This window comes from Homo sapiens, chromosome 13, assembly GCF_000001405.40.
Source record: "Homo sapiens chromosome 13, GRCh38.p14 Primary Assembly".
In the NCBI taxonomy this organism is placed as follows: Eukaryota; Metazoa; Chordata; class Mammalia; order Primates; family Hominidae; genus Homo; species Homo sapiens.
Window position 1 is genome coordinate 65293307 of NC_000013.11, and position 21985 is coordinate 65315291.

Consider the following 21985-nt stretch of genomic DNA (forward strand, 5'->3'; position numbering starts at 1 on the left):
AGCGAACTGAATATAATCTTTACCATAGCAACTTATGTACCTACTCACTAATTCTACATCTTGAGATATTTTAATATTGACTGGCGTATATCAAAAGTATTTTCAAGTTTGCAAATGTAAAGATACTTCACTAAGAGTATATTAACCTGGAAGTTCCCAGGTAGGACCAGCTAAAAATTGAGAAAGAATAGAGAAAATGTCAGAGGCAGAGAAATTGGTTGTGGTCAAAAATCTGGCTTCTGAGCGAAGTGACCGACATCCTAAATCAGTGTGTAAAATATCATAGAAAAAATAAGCTTGACCTGATTTGCTGTGATGTCTTCCTAGGGAATCTGAACTTTAGGGGCTGAGTGGATGTGATATCAACAGAGACTTCTAAGAAAAGACAACACTTAGGTGGTTAACAATACTGTTGACACTTAAGGTGGTGGTGTCAACCACCTTCTTAGCAGTTCTTTGTTAAGAACTGTGAATCAGACCACACTTGCTGGGGAGAGTGTCCAGGAACTAATGTTCACGTCTTGAGGAAAGACGATAAATAGAGCAGATAATGTTATTTCAAAGCAAGCACTAGTTTGACTTAGAAATGGTCTGAGCTTCAGTGAGGGAAATGAAAGACAATTTGAAAATTGTAGTGATTGCAGTTAGGATAGTGTGGCTTGGTTGACACTACAGGACACCAAGTCCCTACTCAAGCACACAGAATACAGGGTGTTTATAATCATCTTGCTGTGGGTGAAACCTGGAAATGTCACATAAGCTAAGTGCTTTACTTCATCTGAAATATACCATGAAAGTATTTCAAAACCTTGATGTATAGAAAAACACATCAATCTCACACAGAGACTACATCTCTTACCTGAGAGAGATGAGACAGCATGTGTCTGTGAAAAAAAAATGGACCTAGGGAACCATGTTGTTTATCGCAACATCTCCTGCTTTGCCTATCAGCTTTGGTTGTAAGTATCTTTGTAATTATAAGTAAAGCTTGATATTCTGGAAAGATGCCTGATTTCTGAGATTCTAACTTGACAATTTGATGCATTATGTTAGTTCAAGATAACATACTGGCTACCAGCTGAAATAAAAGCTTGTAAGTCACACAACGAAGCATACATAGCTTTTTAATTTCCTTATAATCATTCTGTGGCTTATTTTTACTTTTATCTCCAATTTCATTACTGGGGAAGTTAGATTTCCCATGTCCTACTTCTCTTATAATAGCAAATAAGTATTATATCATATTTTTATATTATATTACCAAGTGAGGTTTTTAATCAATTATGTAATGTAAAAATTGCAGTCATTTGGCTTTATAGAATGGAAAGAAATATTACGTATATCTAAGTTATAAATAGGAGCATAAAACATATTTAACATTATCTATGAAATCCAAGATGGACTGTCCCCTACCTACCTCTTCATCATTCTTCCTCATGCTTGGTGCTATGTTCTTGGAGTGCACTGGTCTCATTGCACTTCTCATGCTCATGTTCCTTCCATCCACAAATTCTTTGCAAATGAAATACTCTATATCTGTAATGTCCCCTTTTCTTATACTGTTTAATTTTTCAGACTAGTTCAAGCATTATTACATATGCAAAACCTTGGACCACCCAAATTAATTTTGAGCATAAACTATTACTGTTATGCACTCTCATGGGACTATGCAACATGATTTCATAGCCCATATTGCAGTTTTGCTTACTAACTAATTTATTCAGTACATATTATTGAAAACTTTCTATGTATCATATACTGTTCTAAGCTTTGGGGATACACTAGTAGGCAAATTAAACACAATAATTTTATGTATATATTTATTATTATTTGATCCATGCTTGTCTTTCTCATTAGATTGTTTCCTAAGAGTCATTGGATCTTTATTTAAAAGGAAAGATTGCATCAGCTTTTGGTCACCCTTGTTACCAGCCTAAATTAACATGTGTTTAACAAATTAATATATTAATTTAATTATATATAAATATATATAATAGAAATGGCCTCATAATCAACTTAATTATCTTGTTTAGTGTTACTCAGGCCTGCCAGAGCAAATTTTTTCTCTTGACAAATTAAATGTGACCATGTATCTTAGTGTTTTCAAGTTTATTTGAACAATCCAGTTGGCTAGAGCAAGAGATCACAAGATATTCTACTCTTTCACTTTTCAGATAGCAAAATTGTGAATTGAAAGAAGACAAAATAAAAGCCAAAGTAAGCAGAACAAAATAAATAATAATAATTAGAGAAGAAATCAAGAAACTAAAAACTACAATATTAGTGAAGGCAAAAATTTGCTCATTTAAAATATCTTTCAAGGCTGGGTGTGGTGGCACATGCCTGTAATCCCAGCACTTTGGGAGGCTGAGGCAGGTAGGTCACTTGAGGTCGGGAGTTTGAGACCAGCCTGACCAACATGGTGAAACCCCATCTCTACTAAAAATATAAAAATTAGCCAGGTGTAGTGGTGCACGCCTGTAATCTCAGCTACTTAGGATGCTGAGGCAGGAGAATCACTTGAACCTTGGAGGCAGAGGTTGCAGTGAGCCAAGATTGCGCCACGGTACTCCAGGGTGACACAGTGAGACTCCATCTCAAAAATAAATAAATTTTATATACATACATATATATATACCAGCAATGAAAAATTAACCTGGAAATTTAAAACACAACACCATTTATATTAGCTACCCATAAAAATACTTAGGTATAAATCTAACAAAATATGTACAAGATTTATAGCAGAAAACTACAAAACTCTGATGAAAGAAATCAAATAAAACTAAATAAATAGAGAGATATTTCATGTTCCTGAACAAGAAGACTAAACATTTTTAAGATATCAAGTCTACAGGACTTGATCTATGCATTCATTGAGAACCCAATCAAAATCTCAGAAGATTATTTTGTGGATATTAATAAACTGATTCAAACATGTATAAAGAGAGGAAAAAGACTCAGAATAGTCAACACAATATTAAAGAAGCATAAAGTCAGAGCACTGACATTACTGGACTTCAAGACCCACTGTAAAGCTACAATAATCAAGAGAGTAGAAATAGTGAAAGAATAGAAGAAATAGATCAGTGGAACAGAATAGAGAATCTAGAAACAGATCCATACAAATATAGTCAACTGATCATTGGCAAAATATCAAAGGAAATTCAGTGGAGAAAAGATACTTTTTTCAACAAGTATTTCTGAGCATTCACAGGCAAAAAAATGATTTCCGACATAAACCTTACATCCTTCACAAACATTACGACAACGGTGATCAAAATTTATTTTTGATAAAGGACTATTCTTTAAAATAGCAGTCCCAAAACTTTTTGGCATCAGGGATCAGTTTGGAGGAAGACAATTTTTCCGTGTATGGAGAGGAGAGATGGTTTGGGGATGAAATTGTTCCATCTCAGATCATCAGGCATTAGTTAGATTCTCATAAGGAGCATGCAACCTAGGTCCCTCGCATGTGCAGTTCACAACAGGTTGGCACTCCTGTGAGAATCTAATGCTACTGCTCATCTGGCAGGAAGTGGAGCTCAAGTGGTAATGCTCACTGGCCCACTGCTCACCTATTGTGCTCCCACCCAGTTCCTAACACGTCTTAGACAGGTGCCTGTCCATGTGCAGTTCACAACAGGTTGGCACTCCTGTGAGAATCTAATGCTACTGCTCATCTGGCAGGAGGTGGAGCTCAAGTGGTAATGCTCACTGGCCCACTGCTCACCTATTGTGCTCCCACCCAGTTCCTAACACGTCTTAGACAGGTGCCTGTCCATGGCCCAGGGGTTGAAGACCCCTGCTTTAAAATATAAAGAAGTCTTGAAACGACCATAAAGAAGCAAACAATGCAGTTACAAATTGAGCCAAATTGGTGGACTTTAACAGACACCTCACCAAAGATGATACACAAATGACAAGCATATGCAAAGATGCTTCAGATCAAAAGGATATAAAATCCCAGTTTTACAGGAGGAATAAGTTCAAGAGATCTATTGTGCAACATGGTAACTATAGTTTTAAAAAGATACATTGTATACCTGAAAATTGCTATGAGAGTAGATTTTAAGTTTCCTCCACAAATAAATGAAAAGTATTTCCAGTAATGCATATGTTCATTAGCTTAATTTATCTATTACACAATGTTTACATATTTTAAAACATCATTTTGTATACCATAAGCTAGATCTAATTATTGTCAATTAAAAATAAATTTAAAAGGAAAATATGCTGTACACCATATCTTATAAGGAAAATGCAAATTAAAACAACATTGAGATACTACTGCATACTTATTAAAATGGCCAATATCCAGACCACTGATAATACGAAATACTGGTGAGGCTGTGGAGCAAGAGTAACTTTCATTCATTGCTGATGGGAATGCAAAATGATACAACCACTTTGGAAGATGGCTTGACAGTTTCCTGCAAAACTAAACATAATCTTACCGTATGATCCAAAAACTGTACTTCTTGGTATTTACACAAGTATGTTGAAAACGTGCACGCTAAAACCTGTACATAGATGATTATTGCAGCCGTGTTCAAAATTGTCAAAACTTGGAAACAACTAAGATGTCCTTCAGTAAGTGAGTGGAAAAATAAATTGTGGTACATTCATACAACAGAATATCATTCATTGTTAAAAAGAAATGAACTATTAAGACATAAAAAGACATGGAGGAAACTTAAATGCATATTACAAAGAAACCAAATCTAAAACTTTTATATACTGTATGATTCCAGCTATATGACTTTCTAGAAAAGGCAAAATTATGGAGACTGTAAAAATATCAGTGGTTGCTAGGGGATAAGGAAGAGGAAGAGATGAACAGGTGGAGCATAAGGGATTTTTGGAGCAGTGAACCTGTCTATAGGGTATTATAACAATGGGTACATGTTATGGTACATTAGTCAAAACTAATGTACAACATCTAGGTGAACTCTAATGTAAACTATAGCCTTAGGGATACTGGTATGCCAATGTTGGTTCATCTACTATAGCAAACGTACCATCTTGGTATAGAACGTTAATGTTGGGGAGACTGTGGGGAGAGGGAGCATATTTGAACTTAGTTTTGCCATGAACCTAAACAGGCCAAAAAATCATCTTTTAAAAATATAAACTGATATATTTTAACTGCCATGATACAAAATTTAATGAAATCAAGTTTAGAAATAAGTAGTATGTATTACTCTCATATTTAAGCTACAATAAACACATGCCTTAATATTAACATATTAGATAATTTTAGAGACTAAATATCACTGATGCAACCATGTATTACCATACTTGATAATTTTTGCTATAAAGCCCTCAACAATGTAAACGTATAGTGATAAGACAAAATCCATAATATTTCTATGTTACTTGGTGTATTAGCGTGTTAAAGATCCAAATTCATTAAAACAAGAAATTGCATTGTAGTAGTATTTTGAACTTAAATGGAACCACCTTTTCTCTCTTTATAAGTTCCAAAGTTTAGTTCTTGCTTCTTCCATACGGTTGTAATGCCTCAGAGATTTCCAGAAATGTAAACAGAAACATCAGAAGGAAGTTTATGGAGCATCCTTCCCTTATCCAATTGAACAGCACTACATGAAAGCTTCTCCTGGTGTGTTTGCACAAAGAAATCCATCGTTTTCAAAACCCTGTCCCTGATGCACACAGTTACGTAACTTAACTTCACTCTTCTTACCCAATTCTTCTTAACTCCACTCTTCTTACCTATTTCCAAAATAACTTACTTGTGTTGTTTTCAGTTTTACTTTTTAAATGTTTGTTACAATCCCATATGTTTAATTTACTAGTTTTTTTTTTTACTTTTATCCCTTACACTGAATTCATTAAAAATATACATATATTCACACAGAAATGAATTAGAACCTCAGCACCAACCTCCAGCAAGTCATTCAAATTATCAAAGCCTTAGTTTTTTCATCTGAAAATGGATCTAATGGGGATTATTGTATGGATTAAATGAGGTTTTATATAATAAACATTTATCACCATATCAAACACTTACTTGTTCTGCTAGGGCTGTCTATTGCTGGGAATGTTCACAATTTGTTATTTAAATATTGCAGCAAACATATAGCTCGTAGACAGATGTGCAACTCCAAACAATGCTGGGAATTTTCTAAAAAAAATGTGTGTGTCCAGGATCTCCATAAGAATTATGTATACAGTACTTCCAGTATATGAAATAAGCATAAGGATTTCGGAAAAATAAAACAAAACCTGATATTCTGAAATGCATGCCTTTTTTTCCTTAAACTTTTATTTTACATTCCGGGGTACATGTTCAGGATGTGCGGGTTTGTTACATAGGCAAATGTGTGCCATGGTGGTTTGCTGCACAGATCAGCCCATCACCTAGGTAGTAAGCCCAGCATCCACTAGCTATTCTTCCTTAATGCATGCCTTTTTAATAGTCATGAAATAAAAATGACAACTCTAAATGAATACATAAATTAAAACATTGACTTTATACAAAGAAATATCAAAACATTTGATATTATGCAAAATATTAGATCTTCCTTAATGCATGCCTTTCTAATAGTCATGAAATAAAAATGACAACTCTAAATGGATACATAAATTAAAACATTGACTTTATACAAAGAAATATCAAAACATTTGATATTATGCAATATATTAGATGTATGGTTTTTTGTTCACATAGAAGTATTATTAAAATTCCACTTTTCATCTCCCCTCAAAAATATATAATATTTTAAAATCACAAAATATATAATTGATAGATAAGAAAGTATGATTTCGGTAACCTTGACGGTGAGTCAGATCTTCACCAATTAACATATGAACATGGATTCAACAGTTTTTAAAATAAGCTGAAGAATGTGAGATTAACAAAATTTAAATTCCATTATATTAACATTTTACAAATATGATTTTGTGTCTGACTAAAATTGATATTGCAGGAGTAAATAATGACCTTTTACCTTTTCAGTACTTAACAGTAAACAATGTGACTATATGTTATTTTACATTAAATCAATTTCAGAACCAGTTTACATCTGCCTCATATTTAAAGAAACAGGTTGAAGGATTTTACTGCTTGCTCATAAGGAAGTGGCTGAGACAGTGGTTAACACCAAGTCTTAGAATTATATTACCAAAGATTCTTCTACTGCATCAGACAGATTGTAAAATCCAACAGTGGACTTTAAATTATCTTTAATTTTCCCTCCTCCAAACTCAGGAAGTATCTAACTAATTGAACCTTAAAATCAAAATTTTAAAGAATTGGCTAACAGAGATATTCAAATATATATGCTGAATATAATTTAATAATTATTTTAAGTGCTAGTCCTAAATCTTAAAAAGATTTTTTCTAAATAAAATCCATCTATTAGTTTAATAAATTCCTTTCATATAGGACTTGTGTGTCACTTATATCTTCATAATATTTAAAAATATTGTGTATTTTATCCTTTAATTTGAAAAGTAAACATAAAAATCTATCTGTAATATAGTATAGAATAAAATATAAACCTAAGTTCTATTGTTTTTTCGTGTTTTATTTTCATATTATTTAATAATTGGCAAAATTTGATGAAGTCATTTTATAAAATGTTCATTTATCTAAAACCATGCTAAAACCATTACATATACTTATTGATAATATTTATATATAAATATTATAATTATTTATATGTACACACATGTATGACATTTGAACACTTTTGACCTATGAAAATTCAATCTGTGTGTTTTATAGGTGTTTGTATGTGTATTTATATTGCCAACCAAAAAAGCAAAAATGAGAGAAAAACCCTCCAAATATGCTGAATGTATTTGGGAATTAGAAAAGAGGATTATGGCCTAACATGCACAGCTACGGCAAGACGCGTATGCAATGAAACAGGGGAGGATAAAGGGAAACTTACTGGCAAAAGAGGAAATTCATGTAAGCTGCTTGGAAACAGAGTTTGTTGGTTCCAGAGACCCAAGTCGAAGTTGGCATCCGTTCATTGGTGGAGCTACGTTACTGGGCACATGCCCCTTTGAGAATATCTTATATGAATTGCTGCAGCCCTAAAGAAAAAAATGTTTTGTAAGGTTATTTTAGAAAGTCCTGGAGACAGTCTTTATCTCAGAATTGCAAGAATGAGCCTTCCCACTTTAGGCTCTCCCAGCAATAGCTTCTTTGGATCTGACAAAAAAATGATTTCATATTGGTATCCACAACTTTCACAATATATCACATAAACTTTTTAAATGGACACAGTCTTACAAAAATGGAAACAGAAATTATATAAACAATTTTATTAGTGTCCATTTCCAAATGTAGCACTCTATCTATTGTACATTTTAGTAAATAAAAATTGAGAATTTTGAAAAATGTTATGCAACATGAATATCAAATTATATTATAAGCTCTATTGTAGATATCATCATATGTTTCAAAAATGCTCATCAAAATCTGATGATCACTTCATAGTTTATATTTCTGAGAAGGCAGCTTCTCTTTGAATTCTTGCAACCCTTAGGAAATGTAAAAATAATGATAAAACATGAAGTTATGTTTAAGTTTTCTTCCAAATGACAACAGCTGCTTTTAAAGTGTACCCTTGTTAGGATGAAAACTCCCAGTTACTTTGTTTGGGATGCATAATTCTAAATTGAAGCTATGTTGAGAAGAAAAATTAAATTTCAATTATTTATGAGTAAATCTGCATAGATAGCCTTGACAAACAATAGCATGCTCTGAAAATGTTCAGAATAAGCTCCTTAAATTTCCATGCCAAGCTCTTGGCAGATATTTCTATGAAACTCTTTTCTCTATGGTAAATTTTATTTTGTTTATTATCTGACACAGTTGCACAACTTTCTCATAAAACTTATAAGGAATTTAGAATTTAAATGTGTTCATTTAAATATTTTATATTATATATATATATATATATATCTCCTGTGAAGTCTTCAAGTGCCGTAAACCTAAAATTCATAACTCTGATGGAACATATTGAACAAATTGTAACAACGGAGTATGATTTTTTGATGAAATAAACTGCAAAGGATAAATCATAATCAGTCACATTGCAGAAAAATATGCAAGCCGACTTAATTGTAATTCTTGCTATTAATTTATTCTTTCTTATTGTTGTCATCTGCGAATATAAATAGCTTACTTAATTTTTAAATTCAACATGTGGATGTAAATAATAGTTCCCATCTTGATGATGATTGTGAACATGCTGAAGATTATGATGATTGTTGTGCAAATAATTTATAAATTTTGTGTGAAATGATTCATTTTAAATTGAAAAAGAGTAAAGGAATAATGTAAATTCATATTACCACCTATAGTCACAACATGCTAAAATCAGAAATTTAAAATTTATCTAAGATCAAACTTGTCACATCTTAGTGAAATTAAAAAAAAAAAGCCTAGAGTGATTACGTGACATGCTTATGTTCTTACAGGTATTTATTATTGTTTACATATCACTTAGGATAACATTCAGTGAAGACATAGATTTACTGGGTTCATAAGCATAGGAAGTTAAGTCCTCGTATTTCAAACTCGTTGTGGACATTAAATACTTTTATAGCACTCTATTCTTTCTATCTACTGCCTACTGACAACTTAATAAGACTGAAAAAGAACACATTCAGCTGGCCAATAGGGGTCTAGTGTTGAATAAAATATATGTGGTTCATTAAGAATGTGGGCTCTGGAATCAGACCACTTGCCTTCAAATCTCAGCTCTCCTACCTTCTAGCATAAGATTGTATACATGTGGTTAAAAGCAGTTGTCAGAGCCAGACTGCCGCCATGTGAATATCAACTTCACAATGTATTGGCTATGTGTCCTTAAGCAAGTTACAAAATTTTCTGGACATCAGTTTTCTTCTTTGACAAAATCGAAAATATAGTAATACCAACTCTAATATGGTTAGCTGTTCAGCTAAAATGAGTTAGTGATCCAAAGCCCTTACAGCATTATCTATTTCTGTCTCGCTTTGTCTTGCTTTGTGTGTGCATATGTATGTGTGTGTGTGTGTGTGTGTGAGAGAGAGAGAGAGAGAGAGAGAGACAGGCAGACAGAGACACAGTGAGTCAGAGAGACAGAGAGAGACACAATACTATCTACAAGACCTGCAAGGTACTTAGTACTGCACTGTGTCTAATAAATATTAAGTGCTCAGTAAACATTACATCTTATTATTTCATTTAGTTTAAAAAAATAAGTGCCTACTCTATATCAGGAAATATTGTAGGCCCTTGGGATATATTAGTAAACCAAATATCCTTGCTTCTTTGATAACATGTATTAGGGAATACAAAAATTACAGAAGTAACTTACAATGTAAAAACAAATAATAAGTAAGTTAGAAGATAAGGGCCATGGGAAAAAAAACCTATGTAGAACTGGACAGAAAAGGTTCAGAGGTTCAGGAATGGCACAGGTAGGTTGTAATTTTAAACATGTAATTTTAAAACACTAAGGGAGGCTTAGTGACATAGTGACATTTGTGCAGTGCTCAGATGTGAGCCATTTGAGACAGAGGGACCCATCTGCAGAAAAGCTTTATGGCAGAGACACCTGATACTTTCATGGCCTGGAAAGAAGGCTGTTGTGTTTGGTGTAGAGTGAATGGAATGGAAACGATCAGGAAATTGATTAAAGACGTAACTGGGGGAAATTAAGTAGGCTCTCAAAGGGCATAGTCGAGCTTTACGATTTAGCTTTTGTGAAATGGTAAACACTGCATAGTTTTCAGTAGAGTAGTGATATGATCTGAATTCTATTTTAAATTAACCCCTCTAACTGCTATATGAAGAACAGATTCTAGAGAGTTCAGAGTGGAAGTAGAGAAACCTGTTAGAAGGCTGTTGCTAAAATCCAGGCTAAAGACATTGTTGGTTCAGCCACTGTTTGTGATAGGAGATTTGGAGGTTATGGGTCAGATTCTTTATATATTTTGAAGGTAAACACCACAGAATTTTAAACAAGTATAGGGATATAAGAAAAGTGGGTTGTCTAGAATAATTTCACGTTTTTTTTATTTAGGGCAACTATATTGGTGTAGATGCAACTGGTTGAGAAAGAAAAAGTTGTGAAGACAGTAGGTTTGAGGGGGGAGACCAGAAATTCAATTTTAGACTTGTAGAGCTTCAAATCTCTGTTAGACATTCAAATAGAAATGTCAAGCAGGCAGTGTGATATACATGAGTCTGGAGGTCAGAAATTAATTCTGAGCAACAAACTATAACAGATAAAAAGACAGAAAAATAGACAAGATCAGATGGAAAATATTATAGCTACTGAAAAGAAGGAAATCAAAGCCTGAGCCCTGGAACTCTTCAAATTGAAACAAAAAAGGGGAAAAATGAACTATGAGAAAAGATGGAGAATGAGTGGTTAGTAAAACAGGAAGGAAACTGAGTTCTTGGTTTCATGAAAGCCAAAGGAGGAATGTGTTCTGAGGGGTTAGAGGGATTGATTGTATCATATCCTGCTGATAAAAGTTGCATACTGATTATATTGAACACAGAAAATTGAAAATATATTTAGAAATATGTTGCATGTAAGTTGAATTTAACAAAAGCAATTTCAGTGGAGTGGTTTTAAATAGAATATAGACAGTGAGTACAGACAACACTTTTGAGATGCTTGCTATGAAGAGGAGTAGAGGTAGAGTAGCATCTGTGAAGACAAGTGTCAAAGACGGGATTTCAAGATGGAATAAATAATTGGTTGTTTATACTGAGGGGAATGGTAGAGAAGGGAGAATTCATGATATAGGAAAGAGAGGGAAAAATTGCTAACAAATGACATGAAATAGGTGGGAGGAGATAGTATCTGCTGTGTAAATGGAAGGATTGTCTTTAAAGAGGAGCAGGTGGGAAGATAGAGCTTATGAATAAAGATATTTGTAGGTGGATGAATGTAGTTTACTAGATTTGTTTTCAAATTACTGAAAATTTCCCAGTTAATTAGAAAATAAGATCATCCTCTGAACACGCAGATCAGCTAAGGAGGTATTGGAGGTTTCGGGGAAAAGAAAAACATATACAACAGTTATCTGAGGGAATAAGGAAATAAACAGAGTTTCGAGTATGATTATCTAACAGGAGTAAAGCCTCATTTGTTTCTCATATTCATCTGAATGAGTACCTGAACAGGAGATAGACAGTTACATCTAACCATCTCTGCAATTTCACCAAACTCAAGAGTGAGATACGGGCAAGGGAAGCCAATTGCTACAGGACAGAGTGATCATGATCATTGAAAAGAAGATATAAAATAGGTAAGAAGGAAATCTAGACTTGAGAGTTTTAGAGGATGAAAACATCAGTGGTCCAGATGAAGTTAAAGAATTGTAGGAGCCTGTGATCCGAACTACTTGGGAGGCTGAGGCAGGAGAATCGCATGAACCTGGGAGACAGAGGTTGCAGTGAGCTGAGATTGCGCCATTGCGCTCCAGCCTGGGCAACAGAGCAAGACTCCATCTCAAGAATAGAAAAACAATTGCTAGATTCAAGTCACCTGAAGATTAGAGCTAAAAGGACAATAACTTGTCAGAGAATGTAACGAATGATAATATAGTGTATGTATAAAATTCTTGATAACATCAAGACCTTTGTAATGACCATAAGACCTAGATACTAAAATATAGTGGAAAAGAGTATTATTGGAGAAAACTAATTTTAATAAACTGAAAGAACCAGAAGTTGGAAGGTTAATCTACGTTTACTTTAGAAACTTCAGAACTTAAAAAAAAAAGTCACATTGAAGAGAGCCAGAAACTAAAATCTTCTTAGCAGTACTGTGTTACTCTTTACTATCTCAACAGTTTTCTCTGAAATTTGCATATAAAAGTGATTATAATTTGTGATTTATTATTATTTTATCCAACAATAGTAATCAGATTAGAATAAAGTAAAAGCATTAAGAATGGGCACACTGAACACACATCACAAATACTTTGTTGGTTAATGGAAATGCTAAGGAAATTGTGACCAGAAAGAAAAATCTATTAAAGTCAATGTGTGCTGAAAAAAATAGAAACATATTTTATTTTAATTTGAAAGTATGATTATTAAGAATGTTTTTTCTTTGAAGTTTCAAAAACAAACAGTAACATATGTGGTAGCTAGCTGAGCACTAACAAACAGTAACAAATGTGGTAGCTAGCTGAGCACTTTTGTGTCATATCATTTATTGTCGTGCTTTTGCGTGATTATTGTAGACTTTGCAAATTTTTACTTGACAATCATTTGTATTTATTTTCGATACCCTTTATTCTAGGCCTGGGGTGGCTAGAGCCTGTCCTGGCATCTCATGGATAAGGTGGAAACCAGCCTTCCAGCCCTAGACAGGACATTATCCCATCACAGGGTACACAGATACACACACACGCACTCACTCCTACTGGGACCGTGTAGGCACACCAGTTGCCCTAATGTGTACATCTTTGGGATATAGGAGGAAACCAGAGTACCTGGAGAAAACAAAGGCAGACACAGGGAGAATGTACAAACTTCACTCACCAGACAGTGGGCCTCTGGGAATCAACTTTTTTATCTCATTAACATTATAATAAACAATGTCAAATGAAATCATATTATTTGAGGATCTACTCTACAGAATTAACTAAACCTTCCTTGGATATTGCACATCAGCTAATCACGATACTCTGAGGCGTAAATTTCACAAGCCCAGTTTGCTCGGCATTTGTGCTTTGCATTTTAGAGATGAAAACATTTGTGGTATGGCAAGTTAATCAAGGGCCATGACAGCAATGTCTGGAACATGTATTTTACTTTTGGTAAATCTTTTGAACTCTGTAATGCTATTGCAACCTTTTGACCAAAAGCAGCTTAAAAGTCACTGTCCTTAATTGAGTATTTATAAAATGTCACATATAAATTCCATTTTATTGTTTTTTGGGCATTATAAACAGCAGGAACTTTTAGCAACACAATTAACTCTTTGTTGACACATGGGTTGTAATAAAATGTCATTCCCTGCTGTCCGGTTTCTACTGCTTTCTTGTGAGTGAGCACAGGGTTGAACTTGTTGCTGAACATTGGAGAAAGAAGGACTCTTCTCAGTCCATTTTTTTCTGATAGGCTTTCCTCAAGATTTAAATTGTTACCATAAACCTCTTAATGGCCTGTAAGGACTTTCAAAGATCTGGTCCTCCTTACTTCTCAATACCATCACCTACATGATAATGTCTCTTTCTCTCTGATTTATGGACACTAATCTCTTAAATTTACCATGACATTCCTAATATTTGTTCTCATATCACCTCATGAAAGGGATTCTTTGGCCACATGCTATTTCAAAATCTCCAGCATTTCTTGGTATCTTTTTATACTTTGTTTTTGTACTTAGTGTCTTTTATTAGCAACTTACTATAAATTTTACTTATTCCTGTTGCCTGCATTAGAATGTATGTTCCATGAGATAAAAAGTGTTTGTCTTTTATGATCAGTAATTGCAGATTTTAGATCCATGTCTATCACATAATATGAAATGTTGAATTATTAAAATATTAAAATTCTCAGAAGCTAAGTTTTCAGAATCACATTCTCTTGAGAAATCTCAGAAGCTTCTTAATCTTATCTTTAAATTTTTTAAAATGAAGTACCCTAAGTTCAGGGAATTGAAGAAATTGTCCATGGTCAACCAAAAAGTTGAAGACAGAGAAAGTACTAAATACCAATTCCATTCTCCTTGGATGAAACTGATTTTATACCCCTTTCCTGCTTTTACTGGTAAACATTGGTAGGCTTTGGCCATTTAACAAAATTCATTTTGGGTACGGCTGTTGTTTCAGGTGAGGGTGGGAGCCAAAAAGAATTTTAGAATGCCTGCTGGGGAAGTATAGACAAATGTATTCTCTCCCACTGTATATAAGGCAGTATATAGACTTGACTGCTACTGGCTGCTGTCTGATAACTCAGAGTAATTGCTCTGACACCTCAGATGGTACAGCACAGAGATAAAGATACTGAGTTCCTTGAGATATCAATGAGCCAGTGGATCACCAGATCTTGAATTGTGTCCTATACCTGTGCTTCTACTTATATTAACTAATTTTTTTATTAAGAGAAAAGAAATGTTTTTCATATACTCTTGGCACATTTTTGTCCTACCTCAGATTTTTGAAGTGTCAGAAACAATGGAGATTGCTGGTGGCTAATACACAGTAGAATAAACTGGGGAAGAACATTTATTTCTAACTAAATCTGTGTGTGTGCATGCATGTGTGTGTACATGCATGTGTATATGTGTTGATTTATATCATTGATGTAGACTTATTAATTATTGATGTGAGATTCTTATATTACTTAACAGTAATTACATAACTCATAAGACCTTTTTAGATTTCCAGCCAAGGGCATGAGCAGGGATTGAAATAACAAAACCCAAGGTCTATTAGTCTGCTTTCTCACTGCTGATAAAGGCATACCTGAGACTGGGCAATTTACAAAAGAAAGAAGTTTAATGGACTTACAGTTCCACATGGCTGGGGAGGCCTCACAATCATGGTGGAAGGCAAGAAGGAGCAAATCACATCTTACATGGATGGCAGCAGGCAAAAAGCTTGTGCAGGGAAACTCCCGTTTTTAAAACCATCCTATCTAGTAAGGTTTATTCACTAACACTAGAACAGCATGGGAAAGACCCTCCCCCATGATTCAATTACCTCCCACCAGGCCCCTCCCACAACAAATGGGAATTCAAGATGAGATTTGGGTGCAGACACAGCCAAACCATATCACAAGGCTATAGAAGCAATACATTTTATTCATTTATTAACTGTTTACACATGATTTATTGTTTTCATTTTAGTGTGTGATTACAGGCTTCATTTTCTGAACTCAGGTCCTTGTTTTGTGTGTGTGTGTGTGTGTGTGTTTGTGTGTGAATTATGATTCTTTTTTCTGACTGGTGCCTATGGACTCAATAGGGAAACCTATTTACTAATTAGTTTTGTCTTTTTCCATAGAGAAAGCTTGGACTATATTTCTGGAAGGTACCCACTGTGGGGTGCTGCTTGTTATCTGGTGTTGCCATGCAGCGACTTGGAGGAGTGGAGGGCTGCAGGAGACCCTCTAAGATTCTGCTTTGTGCACATGCTCTGCCTTCAGGGCATGGGGTTCTCCAGCCCATAAAGCAAGACTCCTCAGGCCCTGTGACTAGCATCCCCCCACACATATCAGCCACTAGCATTTTAAAGATGGTTTTAGGTGGGCACATAAAGGCCCAGAAAAAAAGTTTTACAATTATTTTAGGATCCTCAACCTTCATGTCATAGCTAGTCAGTGAATGAAGTTACCTTTTAATCAAAGAGCCTCATCCTTGTTTTCTTGGTACTAAAAACTTTTACCAGTCTGAATCCTAGTATCATACTCTATACACTAACCCCACCTATTCCTCTGTCGCCAGATGGAGATTTTAAGCTTGCAGGCTTCCAGCAAGGATTCTCCTGATAAGCGTGTGTAGCAGTGCAGCTGGACACACTTGGGAACAGCAGGCTGGCCTTCAACACCTGGCTTCAGAGGCAGGGTGGGACTCCAGGCGCTTGTGCAGGTGGTTGGCAAAATCCACCTGGGTCTGGGACAGGACCTGGTTGATGATGCTCTTGGGAAGCCACCCCTTGAGGTCGATGCTGAGCAGTCATGTAAGTTTGGTCTTGGAGGGACTTCCAGTCACCAGGTGAAGCACCATGCAAGTGGGACCATGCTCCCCCTGATGACACCCTTCTGCTCGGGCATGTTCCCGAAGTCTGTGGCCATGCCAGCCAGCACACAGGTGGAGCCTTGACGCTTGGCACAGCACATGCTCACAGAGTCACAAGGCCCCACTAGGTTTCCTGCTGCCTCTGCAGCCAGCTCATGGGCAATGAATGTATCTTTTCTGATCATCTTCTGCAAGACCTTGATCGCCTTGATATTGGAGTTGCACTCCCCCATTGCCTCCATGCACTCCACGAGCTCTTTGTAGAGCCTCTCCATGGGCTGGTCCACCACGACTTCCAGCCGGAACACCTTGCCCCATCTGGAACCACTTTACTCATCACTTTATCCCCATTGTCCTGCTGGCTCTCCTTCTTCCAGCCCTCGTAGTTGCCGAGGGCTAAGGATGCCCAAGGCCTTCTGCATGGCCTCCTCCCCACTGCTGGAGATAGGTCAGCTCCTGGTCACTGTAGAGAGTCTTCCCCGCCCGCCCCCCCGTCCCCGAGTTCAAGCGATTCTCCTGCCTCAGCCTCCTGAGTAGTTGGGATTACAGGCCCGCACCACCACTCCCAGCTAATTTTTGTATTTTTAGTAGAGATGGGGTTTCACCATGTGGGTCGGGCTGCTCTCGAACTCCTAACCTCATGATCTGCCCGCCTCGGCCCCCCAACGTGCTAGTATTACAGGCGTGAGCCACCGCACCCGGGTAGAGAGTCTCTTCCAGCAGAGAACGAAGCAGAGAGCTCCGCCGCGGAACCTGGTTAATCCAAGCGCTTGGGGTGGGGCCCCCAGGGCCCTCCGGTTAAGCTCCTGCCCGATGCCCCCTCACAGCCTGTTGCCTCAGCCCCTTCATGTTGCGCATGTGTCTGTAGGAGCTCCTGGAGCACAGTTTGAATGTCGCTAGCAGCATTCTTTCCTGGCAGATGTGGCAGTGGTGGGGCCGCCAACGCCGGTGAGGCTGCCTCTTCTTTCAAGGGTGGTTCTTCGTCCTTCCTGAGCCACTCAAGCTTTGCCTCTGAGTCCCGCAGCTGCAGCCTGGACCCGGTGTTCCACGTATTAAATGTCCCCCACTGAAGGCTGTGCATCATCATCAGGAGATATAAACGCCATCACTCACTGGATTCTTCCTGGCAGTGCTCAGCTCCCCGTGCAGCGCCTGCTGCCATCCATCCAGTGCATACCTTCGCCACTCCAGGGATGCTTGCAGTGCGGCCTCCCCTTGGAGGCTGTCCTCTGTGCCCCTCCTCACTCTACTCTTTAATTAGAATCCAATATTTTGGCCAGGCTCGATGGCTCAGGTCCTTCTTATAGACTCACTGAATATTGAAATCGGTAGGACACACCTTTTTGCTTATTTATTGTTCTCATTGAGTGCTTATCTCTGGTCTTTCCTGTCCTTTTGGAGTCACCAAAATTTGATAACAGAAACTTTGACTTCCATTTCTGATCCCATGTGATCTTCCCAGTAAGTCTAACCCTAGGATGTGATTTGTATATCTGTTACCCTCTCACCCACATACTCCCTACTAAGATAACCTGAAGCATAACTGAGTTGTCCATTCTATGACTTAGCAAAATATATTGTTTTATTCCTCTAAATAAATTTCTCAAGGAGTTAATTATAATGCAAAGCCAGTTACTCATTCTGGCAATGTGCAAATTCAGAAATATACAGAAAATGTACAACAACCCAGATTAATCTTAATATACACATTATGTCATTAAAATCAAGGTAGATATGAATTTCTATAATCTTTATATGTAAAGCTTAATATCTTTAAGAAATATTTAGGTAATGTTGCAGTTTTAATTTGTGTCTATGTAGTTTGGTCCCCTTTGTTCCATTTTAATTTATTTCCACTCTTTGTATTACTCCCTTGTTTTCATTTGTTTTGCTACTATTTCCTCTTTATTATTATTATTTTGATATTTACAGAATAGTTGCAAAATTTTATAGTGAGTTCTTACCATTTACTCATGTTTCTCTAAGGTTTACATTGTAGGCAACCATGAAACACTTATCACAACTTAGAAATTCACATTCGTATGATGCTGTGAATCAAATTGCAGACTTTATTCTGATTTTATCAGCTTTTCCATTAATATCCTTTTTTTCTGTTTCAGTATTTAATCTATGATACCATGTTGCATTTTTTTCTAGTGTTCTCCAGTTATGAGTTCTCACTCTTTATTTTTTTGTAAGCTTGACACTTTTGAATTATACTGATCAAACATTTTGTAGAATATCCTTCAGTTTGGGTTTTTCTGCTGTTTTCTCATGATTAACTGGAGTGAATAAATTTTCAGAAAACAATACCACAGAAGTAAAATGCGCTTCTCATCACATCATGCCTACCCGTCTTTAAATCATAACTTTCCTTCTGTTTCACTCTCACAGCTCTGATTTCTGAGCTTTCTCTTATTAGAAGAATATCATCATTTTCCACCTCACTTGAGTTTGTTTTCTATAAAAAAGATCTGTACCTGGAATTAAAATATTCTGCTATTCAGCATCATGATGCTTAATTGACCAGCATACTTTGAGATAATTTATAACAAACCAGTGATTTCCTACTGTATTTTTTAAGGATGCATGCTAATCACCAATATAATGTATCTAAGATCTAGTTTCTTTTTCCCCCATGACAGAAAACTGCAGATTTTATACGAAAATCTCAAAAAGAGAATCAAACTTAATTATGAAGCCGAATGATTGACACCAATTGGTAAATTCCCTTGACAACCTAGACAATTCTTAGTTAATATGAAAGTTTTATAATAAAAACAGACTTAATGCCACATATTTTAATAATTACTTCTCAAAAATGTAGTGCTAAAGAAGAAATTCTATTATCAAGGGGATAAATTGCAAAAGGGCTATTATTCTAGTTTTAAAAGACTCCTCTAAAAGTTATTTTTAATATTATGAAATATTGAAGTTGGTTGAAAGTTAAGAATATTTCTCATTAAGTTAAATTAGATATAATGGGGAACCACTTATTCATTTATTACTTACACCTTTTTTTCCCTCTTTTTTTAAGCTCTTACACATTTTTTTTTTGAGTTATAGGAAGGGCATTCTGAAAAATGTTAGGATTAATAAAGATGGCTGACTAGAAACAGCTGGGATACTCCTTTTCAACAAGAGGAACCAAAATATTGAGTAAATCTTGACACATCCAACAGATCTTTTGAGAGAGAATACTGAAATTTAATAGAGAGGCAACAGAAGATGCTTTGATTGAAGAGGGAGGTAGGAGACTTCCTGCTTGGCATCACTGGGTGCCAAGACTGCCCAGACCTAGATCAAACCCAAGGAAGGGGTGAGTAAAGGAACCCCATGGCACCACATTCCTACTCTGGGCCACTGAGATCCTAGCTAAAAGAGTTCCCACAACACCTACAAACCTTTGGACTGTCTGGGAGCTACCTGGAGAACACATAGAGGCACTGCCTAATCTCACTGGGAGCCCAAAAGATTTCAGTGTGTTGGGCAGCTGCAGTAAAACATGACTCAGTGCCCACTTCTCAAGTTTCTGTGTCCTGCCCTAAACAACTGTAGCTCATGTTGTCTGCTGGACCAGGAGAGAGTGGGGCCTGTGCACATTCAGGTACCCAAGACAGGCCACAGCACCATTGCTCTGGGACTGAGGTGCATTCTGAACCACAAACTCCCATGGCTGCTGGTACCTCCCATTACTGCCTACCTGGATTTTCTTGCAGGGGCAGCCCACAGTATAGGCTTCATTGCCCTACCTGAGTGGTTTGTTGGGCAGCCTGGGAGCAGTTCACTTCCCCACCAAAGGTAGTGCTTGACCCCAAAAGGCCAAAGGACAAGTCTGCTGGCCTAGTCCCAGTTCCCCAGTAGTCAAGCACACTACCTAGGGGTATAGAGATGAGAACTGTGGTCTGATCTCATGCTGGAGAGGGCCCCCCTGTGTTAGAACACAGAGAAGAGCATGACACACGCTCACATGATGGTGCAGGAGCTGTGTGCCCCTTCTTTTATGAAACCAGACTGCCAAGAGTGAGGCCTAATATTCTCAGTTTCTTCTACAGGGAGTCTCGCCATCTGTAACACCTGGGACAGCATGGTGATCTGGGTGTGAATGCTTGAGATGAGCTTAGCTGGTCGGGTCTGTTGTTCAGGTTAGACATTGGAGGGAGCCCCCTGAGGGTTCAGGGGAGTAGTAAATGGGTAGCCTCCATGGCCTTTTGCTAGGCTGAAAGCCCCAGACTATCCCCTCTTTCCCTGATTAGGCACTGTGGTAAGAGGATGTGCCTCCCCCATTCCCTAGAGGATTGCCCGAGTGGCCTGAGAGCTGCCTCTACAACCCCATCAAGGTCAGGACTTGCACCCAACCCAACCCTATCTATTCCTGCCATCTTGGTGGGAGAACACCAGGCAATAATATTGAACCCCATTCCCCATCCATTGCCAGGGACACTCTGATACTTCCCCCCATCAACTAAAGTCACATAGAATTCCACTGCCATCAGCACATATGCTTGTCACTTGCAAGTGCCAACTACTGATCAAGAGGTCAAACTGCATGGCCCATGACAACTTCTGCTGACATCAGTGTACAAGGCTCAGCCAGCTCTTACCCACAAGCACCACCAACTAGCATATGGTGTGGGATGTACAACCAAATATAATTACTGCTGACAAAAGTATACAGTACTGGGGAACAAAATAAGCCTCTCAAGCCTCCACCTCCCCATATCTGTTGAAGACAGTGAGCCTCACCACATACAGAGCTTATTGTAGACTTCTACCACAATCTACAAAAACAGACAGAGAAACAAAAAAACTAGCATTTGAGAAATCCATTACATTAAGGCTATCTATTAGCACAAAATTTTTATACAGAGAGTTGACCCTATAAAAACACATGGGAGCAAAGCCAAAGGACCATGCCCAACGTACACAATAGTCACACCCTCAAATGAGGAAAAAAATCCCACCCAAACAAAAGCAAATAGAAAAATAAGAGGTAATAGCTTCTACAGATAAAAAACAGTCAGCACAAGAACTCAGGTACTATGATTAAACAATGTAATAACACATCCAAAGGTCACACTAGCTTTCTAGAAAGGGATTTTAACCAAAATGAAAACTTTGAAATGATAAAAGATTTAAGATACATATTGTAAGGAAGTTCAATGAGATCCAAGAGAAAGTTGAAAGCCAACAAAAAGAAACCAGAAAAACAATTTAGGAGATGAAAGAAGAGATAGATATAT

General features: G+C 36.8%; 1 pseudogene; it reads right to left on the reverse strand.

Moving 5' to 3' along the window:
• Positions 1 to 17770, reverse strand: part of STARP1 (steroidogenic acute regulatory protein pseudogene 1) — a 31022-nt pseudogene extending 13252 nt beyond the window's left edge.